Source organism: Homo sapiens, chromosome 3 (assembly GCF_000001405.40).
Source record: "Homo sapiens chromosome 3, GRCh38.p14 Primary Assembly".
NCBI lineage: Eukaryota > Metazoa > Chordata > Mammalia > Primates > Hominidae > Homo > Homo sapiens.
In genome coordinates this window covers 57,051,651-57,060,324 of record NC_000003.12, presented here as the reverse complement: position 1 = coordinate 57,060,324, position 8,674 = coordinate 57,051,651, and the positions used below count along the sequence as shown (strand labels likewise).

The following is an 8,674-nucleotide window of genomic DNA, read 5'->3' as shown; positions in this document are numbered from 1 at the left end:
AAGTTCCTTTTTTTTTTTTTTTTGAGACAGAATCTCAGCTCTGTCGCCCAGGCTGGAGTGCCGTGGCACAATCACGGCTCCCTGCAGCCTTGACCTCCCAGGCTCAAGAGATCCTCCCACAGGGACTGTAGGTACATGTCACACACCCAGCTAATTTTAAAATTTTTTATAGAGATGGGGTCTCGCTATGTTGTCCAGTCAGCTCTTGAACTCCTAGGCTCAAGTGATCCTCCCGCCTTGGCCTCCCAAAGTGCTGGGATTACAGGTGTGAGCCACCATGCCTTGTCCCTCACTTCATCTATTTATTTTTATTTTTATTTTTATTTTTGAGATAGAGTTTCACTCTTGTTGCCCAGGCTGGAGTGCAATGGCGTGATCTCCGCTGACTGCAACCTCTGCTTCCCAGGTTCAAGCGATTCTCCTGCCTCAGCCTCCCGAGTAGCTGGGATTACAGGCATGTGCCACCATGCCTGGCTACTTTTGTATTTTTAGTAGAGATGGGGTTTCTCCATGTTTGTCAGGCTGGTCTTGAACTCTGGACCTTAGGTGATCTGCCCAACTTGGCCTCCCAAAGTGCTGTGATTACAGGCGTGAGCCACCATACCCAGCCCCTCTTCGTCTTTTTAAAGCCTCATTGTCACCCCATCAGGCAGTCATTTCAGTCCTACTTTGCAGAAGAGGAAATGTGCTTATGGAGGGAAGCAACTTGCCTGAGGCTATGTGGGTGGCAGATAGCAGAGCCAGATTTGAACCTATCACTGATTAAGGAGCCTGGACTTGTAATCATGCTGCTCACCACCCTCCCTCCCCCCACCCCCAACTCATACACACACGGGGAAGAACAGACTCCAAAATGTGACTTATCTTTAGGCCAAGCTTGTCTAACATGTGGCCCAATACAAATTCATAAACTTTTAAAAAACATTATGAGTTTTTTTTTTAGTTCATCAGCTATTGTTAGTGTTAGTGTATTTTATGTGTGGCCCAAGACAATTCTTCTTCCAGTGTGTCCCAGAGAAGCCAAAAAATTGGACACCCTTGCTCTAGGCTTAAAGACAAGGCTTAAAATTTTTTCCCTGTGCTTATGAAAAAATTTAGAAAATACAAGTAATGAATATATTTTATAGTAAAAAAAGGCATAGTTAAGTATGATTGCATGTCAGCATTTCTTTTTTTTATTATTATTATACTTTAAGTTTTAGGGTACATGTGCACAACGTGCAGGTTTGTTACATATCTATACATGTGCCATGTTGGCGTGCTGCACCCATTAACTCATCATTTACATTAGGTATATCTCCTAATGCTATCCCTCCCCCCTCCCCCCACCCCACAACAGTCCCTGGTGTGTGATGTTCCCCTTCTTACGTCCATGTGTTCTCATTGTTCAATTCCCACCTATGAGTGAGAACATGCGGTGTTTGGTTTCTTGTCCTTGCGATAGTTTGCTGAGAATGATAGTTTCCAGCTTCATCCATGTCCCTACAAAGGACATGAACTCATCATTTTTTATGGCTGCATAGTATTCCATGGTGTATATGTGCCACATTTTCTTAATCCAGTCTATCATTGTTGGACATTGGGTTGGTTCCAAGTCTTTGCTATTGTGAATAGTGCCGCAATAAACATACGTGTGCATGTGTCTTTATAGCAGCATGATTTATAATCCTTTGGGTATATACCCAGTAGTGGGATGGCTGGGTCAAATGGTATTTCTAGTTCTAGATCCCTGAGGAATCGCTACACCGACTTCCACAATGGTTGAACTAGTTTACAGTCCCACCAACAGTGTAAAAGTTTTCCTATTTCTCCACATCCTCTCCAGCACCTGTTGTTTCCTGGCATGTGAGCATTTCAAGTTGTTATTTTTATGCACACTTTTGGGACCTTGAAGGGCAGGTGACATGAAACAAACCCATTGGGTACAAGTATCACTCATTTTGCTGGACGCCGAGAGCATCACAGTCTATGACAGTTTTGTCCAATGTATGTAAAACTGTAATGGCATTTCAAAAAGACCAGACTGATTTGGAACAAGTTCTCATAAATGTGAAAATAGAGAAAATAGGTGTAATGTAGATTGGCCCTTGAGGGAGCAAGTGGTAATACTAATTTCCAGGCATTCCTTATTTTTCTGTGTAAAAGGCCACATGGCTTATTTTATGGAAAGAAACTTGTTCTTTCAGGACTTTTAATTGAAAGAGATTGTGGGAAATAGGTAACCCTCCCTTCCTTTACAGTCGGCTTTTGGTGAATGTGGCCATGGCAAGGACACGACTGAAGGGTTAAAGCCCAGTCAATATGAGGAAAAGGAAATTCACTTTGGACAATAGTTTTAGTTTCATCTGAAATTTTATCAGAGTTGCTAACTTGGTGGCAAAACTGACTGACTCATTTAAGTGGCCCCTCCTCAACTCTCCCTTGTCTGTCTAGTATGGACAGTAAAATCAGTGAGAGCAAGAATTAAGCCCCCCAGTTTGTCTGTTATAGTAGGAGGCAGTCATTCATTCACTTACTCTATATCACTCAAGTATGTATCAAGTGATACGATGGCTGGAGTTCGCTTCACTGGGTTGAGTGTAGAAGAAATAATATTAGGAATGAGTTGACCACTCAAATTGTATGATGTGTGGCACAGAGGGTACATTATATTCTTTCTCCGTTTGTATTTAAACTTTTACATTTTAAAAAAGCTTGTGTGGGGGTGTGGGTGTGGGTGTGACTTACCCTGGGCCAGGCCCTGTGCTAGGTGCTGAGGAAGTCTTGGTGGCTAAGACCGGCTCAGACTCTACCCTACCAGAGTCAACAGACAAGACTCACTCAGGAAACAGATACTAATCAAATAGTCACATGAATGCAAGTAAAATTATAGTTGGGATAAGTGCTGAGAAATCATGAACAGAAATGCAGAAACCTGGACGGGCGCGGTGGCTCACAGCTAATCCCAGCATTTTGGGAGGCCAAGGCAGTCGGATCACTTGAGGTCAGGAGTTCGAGACCAGCCTGGCCAACATGGCAAAACCGCTCTCTACTAAAAATACAAAAATTAGCCAAGTGTGGTGGCACGCACCTGTAATCCCAGCTACTTGGGAGGCTGAGGCAGGAGAATCACTTGAACTCAGGAGGCAGAGGTTGCAGTGAGCCGATATCATGCTGCTGCACCCCAGCCTGAGCAACAAAGTGAAACTCCATCTCAAAAAATAATAATAATGAAAATTAAAAAATGCAGAAACCTGCAGTGTAGACCCCATTTTACCCAGGATCATAACGGGACTACAGCTGGAGGTACTACCAAGGGGGCAGGTGGAGTGACAGCCTGCTTGTGTTTAGACCTAAAGGAAAAGATGGAAGGGGGCAGGGGGCAGGGGTGTGTGGGGTGTGTGTGTGTGTATAGACCTGCATGGTCAAGGCCAAGAGGAGCCTTTGTGTTTTGTCGCCTGCTTGAACCATGGTGGGATAGAAGGATTTCAGGGTGGACCAGTTGACTGAATGCCCTTCAATCCCATAGTCTTTTGTGGTGCATCAACCTCATAGAGGACCTTGTGGTATATGTTCAAGATAACAGAGACCGGGAGTTTGAGACCATGCCCAACATGAGGCAACATAGCTACATCCTGTCTCTACAAAAAACTAAAAAGAAAGAAAAAGAAACGATAACCGATTCTGCTTAGAAAAAAATCCACATCTCTTCTTGCCTTAACTAACATGCCCTTTCCACTCCTCGTCATGCCTCCTGGTCTCATGGATGTTCCAGCTATGTCCCAATCCCTTTGCTTGCTCAGCCTCTGAGTCTGCTGGTCCTCCTGTCCAGAACACTTTTGCCCCTTCTCTTAGGGCCAGCTCCCTCCCATATCTAGTTTGGCTCAAACATTGCAGGGAGGCTCCCCATGATCACTTTTCCCTGCATACTTGCTCTGCTTCTTTTTTTTTTTTTTTTTTTGATGGAGTCTTGCTCTGTCGCCCAGGCTGGAGTGCAGTGGCACAATCTTGGCTCACTGCAACCTCCGCCTCCCAGGTTCAAGAGATTCTCCTGCCTCAGCCTCCCGAGTAGCTGGAATTACAGGTGTGTGCTGTCACACCTGGCTAATTTTTTGTATTTTTAGCAGAGATGGGGTTTCACCATGTTAGCCAGGATGGTCTCGATCTTCTGATCTCGGGATCTGCCCACCTCAGCCTCCCAAAGTTCTAGGATTACAGGTGTGAGCCACCGCACCCGGCCTCTGCTCCCATTTTTTATTGGTCTCTTCTCCAGGCTGTGAGCATGGTGACAGTAGGGGCTATGTCTGCTCATATTCTGTGGCCTCCCTAATTCCTAGCCCATAGAGGCACACAGTGCCCAGCAGATCTGACAGCCAGATGCTGTCTTACCTTTTCCCTATTCACATTCCTACTTAATCATTTTGCATTTTAGAAGGATTTTGACTCATGTGCAGTTGTCAAAATGGACTTATGGAAAGTTGTGGAAGCTTTATATAAGGTGGAAGTTTGTGTCCTAAAATTCTCTCAAACAGTAGGGATGTGCATTGGAATTCTGTTGGGCTTCAGGGGCGAGGAGGAATCAGAGGCTTCTGGAGGATACAGATAAAGGATTGGGTGTCAGGGAAGCTGCACCTTCCTCTGGAGGTAACAGAGATTGGTCTTTTTGTGTGCCTGGTTTGTGGTCATAGCTGACAGGACTTTACCCTAAAAGTATATCCTACCTCACTTCTACCTCACACCATACACAAAAATAATTCAAGATGGATTGAGAACCTAAATGTGCAAGGCAAATCAATGGAGTTTCTAGAAGATAATAAAGAAGAATTTCTACATGAGATGAGGCTAGGCACAGGTTTCTTAAATAAGTCACAAAAAGCATAAAGGGGCCAGGCGGGGTGACTCAGGCCTGTAATCCTGGCACTCTGGGAGGCCGAGGCGGGCAGATCACCTGAGGTCAGGCATTTGAGACCAGCCTGGTCAACATAGTGGAACCCCGTCTCTTCTAAAAATACGAAAATTAGCCAGGCTTGGTGGCATGCGCCTGTAGTCCCAGCTACTCAGGAGGCTGAGGCAGGAGAATCGCTTGAACCTGGGAGGCAGAAGTTGCCGTGAGCTGAGATCACGCCACTGCTCTCCAGTCTGGGCAACAGAGTTGGACTTCGTCTCAAAAAAAAAAAAAAAAGCATAAAGAGAAAAGCTTATAAATCATATTTCATTAAAAATAAGAACTCTTCTTCAAGAGACACCATTAAGAGAGGGAAAAGGCAAGCTGCAGTCTGGGAAAAGATATTTAAAATACATATGTTCAACAAAGGATTTACATCCAGAATATATAAAGAACTTCTACAAATCAATAGGAAATAGACAACACAATTTTATTTACAAAAAAATTTTTTTTGCTGGGTGCGATGGCTCACGCCTGTAATCCCAGCATTTTGGGAGGCCAGGGTGGGCAGATCATGAGGTCAGGAGATTGAGATCATACTGGCCAACATGGTGAAACCCCGTCTCTACTAAAAATACAAAAATTAGCCAGGCATGGTGGCGTATGCCTATAATCCCAGCTACTCGGGAGGCTAAGGCAGGAGAATCCTTGAACCAGGGAGTCAGAGGTTGCAGTGAGCTGAGATTGCGCCACTGCACTACTGCACTCCAGCCTGGTGACAGAGTGAGACTCCATCTCAAAAAAAAAAAAAAAAAAATTTTTGAGATGGGGTCTCACTCTGTCACCCAGGCTGGAGTGCAGTGGTGTGATGTTGCCTCACTTCAGCCTCCACCCTGCTGGGCTCAAGCAATCCTCCCACCTCAGCCTCCCGAGTCGCTGGTACCACAGGCATGCACCATCATGCCCGACTTTTTTTTTTTTTTTCGTATTTTTTGTAGAGATAGGGTTTCACCATGCTGCCCAGGCTGGTCTTGAACTCCTGGGCTCAAGCGATCAGCCCACCTTGGCCTCCCAGAGTGCTGGGATTATAGGTGTGAGCCACCGTACCTACCTGACAACCCAATTTTAAAAGGATAAAAGACTTGAGCAAGCATATCATCAAAATGAATATCCAAATGACCACAAAAACATTTGGAAAGATGCTTAACCTCAGGAGTCACCAGAGAAATGAAAATGTAAGTACACAAAGATACTACTATATACCCACCAGAATGACTAAAATTAAAAAGACTCAAAGTGTTGGTGAAGATATGGTGCAACTGGAACTCACACACACTGCTAGTGGGAGTATGAATTGGTACAACCATTTTGGAAAATCATTTTGATAACATCTACCCAAACTTAACAGATGCCTACCTATGCTGCAGCAATTCCACTTTTAGATATATACCCAAGAGAAGTGAATGCATCTGAGCACCAAAAGACTTGTACACAAATGTTCATAGCCACTTTATCCATAATTACCAAAAGGTGGAAACAATCCAAATGCCCGTCAGCAGCCATATATATAAGTAAATTTGGTATATCCATACAATGGGATACACTCAGCAATGAGAAAGAAGGAACCACTGCTGCATGCCACAACGCGGATAAAACTTCTAACACAGTGATGACTGGAAGAAGCCAGGGACAGGGAGTCCATACTGTATGATTCCATTTATGTACATTTCAGACACAGGCAAATGAATCCATGCCACTAGAAGTCAAGATAGCAGTTACCTTTGGGGTAGGCAATTACTTGGGAAGGAACATAAGGAAGCCTTCTTTCTAGGAGACAGGAACTGTTTTATATGTTTTGATTTGGTTGGTGATCACATTGGGGTATAAATATCTAAAAATGTTATTGAGTTGTATACTTAAGATTGATGCGTTTTATGGATGTTGCAAACTACTTTATTGGTGTGTATATTGGGGAAACAAAGAACACATAGAAACTTTTCCAGAGTCCTTGGAAGAAGGTTGGGGAGATGAAACAAAGCCAGAGGCAGGGCAGGCTGGAGGGGAAGGTGAGGTAGAGGGCTGGGAAGAGGCAGGTGTTTTTCCTGCCATGGAGCTCCTCCCTGCCCCAGGTGTGGGCAGCGGTGATTGCTCCTGTGTGTCCCTCCCTGCCCTCTCCTACCCACGTGTCCTTTGGCAGTGAGCGCTCGCTAACCATCACCCGTCCCTGGCACAATCCTTATCCTAAAGAGAGCAGGCGCTTGAGAGGGAGGGTGGCCTTTCTTAATTCTGGTGCTGTTTAAGGAAGGGGTGCATTTATCTGGTGCTTCCAGAATTTGCACTCCTTGGATTTTCCCATATGGGAACCTGCCTAGCAGGCAGCTTTGCATGAAGCCGAGGATTAAATGGTGGTGGTGGGTAGGGTGGAGGGGACCCAGTGAGGAGGGCAAATCTGCTTCTGTTTGCCTGGGCACATCACCTGCACCCACACCCTGGGCTGCTCCACGGCAAATTAAAGCCTGTTTCTCTTGATGGCCTGGGGCAGCCCTGTCAGTCTGCTGGGGCAGATCTCCAAGCTGGATGGGCCATGGTGCCCTGGGGGTGGTTTGTGCTCTAGATGGTCTCTGGCTTTCTGCTTGGGTACTCCTGCTGGGTGTCCTTCTGACAGGAGAAGGACGCACTTCGATTCCAGGCCTGTGTGCTGGCTGCCTTGGGACAGCCCGAGTGCTCTGGCTGTAGATCTAAATGCAAGCATACTGTGAATTTTATTTATTTATGTCTTTGTGTCTTGCCGTGTTCCATAAAAGCTTTAAGCCACTTTATCTAGAGAAGATGAGGAAAGTGTAAGGGTTAAGAATGTAGGCTCTGGCTGAGTGGGGTGGCTCACGCCTGTAATCCCAGCACTTTGGGAGGCTGAAGTGGGCAGATCACTTGAGGTCAGGAGTTCGAGACCACCCTGGCCAACTTGGTGAAACCCTGTCTCTACTAAAAATACAAAAATTAGCCGGGCATGGTGGTGGTTGCCTGTAATCCCAGTTACTCGGGAGGCTGAGGCAGGAGAATTGCTTGAACCCGGGAGGTGGAGGTTGCAGTGAGCCAAGATCACACCACTGCACTCCAGCCTGGGTGACAGAAGGAGACTCCGTCTGAAAAAGAAAAGAATGTAGGCTCTGGAGCCAGAATGCCTGAGTTCTCAGGTGTGACATTGGATCAGCTAATATACAGGCACCGCAGGATGTGAGGGTGAGAGGCACAAGAACAAGCGGCACGCTGGCTGGCGGCCTTGGGCAAGGTGTGCCTCCGTTTCTTTATTGGGTGATCAAGAATAAATTAGGGATAAATCTGGACAACACGAGCATAGTAACAGTGTCACCCTTTGGGTTGTTGTGTGGCTTTAGTGTGATAATTACCATAAAGCACTTAGAAGAGTGCCTAGCATACAGTTGATACTCAGTAGATGGTGGTGGTAGTGGCAATGATGAAGGGTACTTTTTTTTTTTTGAGGCAGACTCTTACTCTGTCACCCAGGCTAGAGTGCAGTGGCACGATCTTGGCTTACTGCAACCTTGTCTCCCCAGTTCAAGCGATTCTCCTGTCTCAGCCTCCCAAGTAGCTGGGATTACAGGCTCCCGCCACCACACCTGGCTAATTTTTCTATTTTTAATAGAGACAGGGTTTCACCATGTTGGCCAGGCTGGTCTCAAACTCCTGACCTCAGGTGATCCACCCACCTCGGCCTCCCAAAGTGCCGAGATTACAGGCGTGAGCCACCGTGCCTGGCCTGGTGTGCTAGAAAAATGAAGTGCATCAGTG

The 8,674-nt window shown here is 45.8% G+C and overlaps 1 protein-coding gene across 11 annotated transcripts in view, besides 2 other annotated features; it reads left to right on the top strand.

Annotated features, from left to right (window-relative positions):
- Positions 1-8,674, top strand: part of ARHGEF3 (Rho guanine nucleotide exchange factor 3) — a 351,849-nt gene that overhangs the window by 18,944 nt on the left and 324,231 nt on the right. The gene's annotated exons all lie outside the window — the stretch shown is intronic.
- Positions 6,942-7,442: an enhancer, noted in NCBI's record as "H3K4me1 hESC enhancer chr3:57086911-57087411 (GRCh37/hg19 assembly coordinates)". NCBI's record gives its function as "activates a minimal SCP1, AML or CMV promoter by ChIP-STARR-seq in primed H9 embryonic stem cells {active_cell/tissue: H9 hESC(primed)}" and the evidence as "EXISTENCE:reporter gene assay evidence [ECO:0000049][PMID:30033119]".
- Positions 7,443-7,943: an enhancer, noted in NCBI's record as "H3K4me1 hESC enhancer chr3:57086410-57086910 (GRCh37/hg19 assembly coordinates)". NCBI's record gives its function as "activates a minimal SCP1, AML or CMV promoter by ChIP-STARR-seq in naive H9 embryonic stem cells {active_cell/tissue: H9 hESC(naive)}" and the evidence as "EXISTENCE:reporter gene assay evidence [ECO:0000049][PMID:30033119]".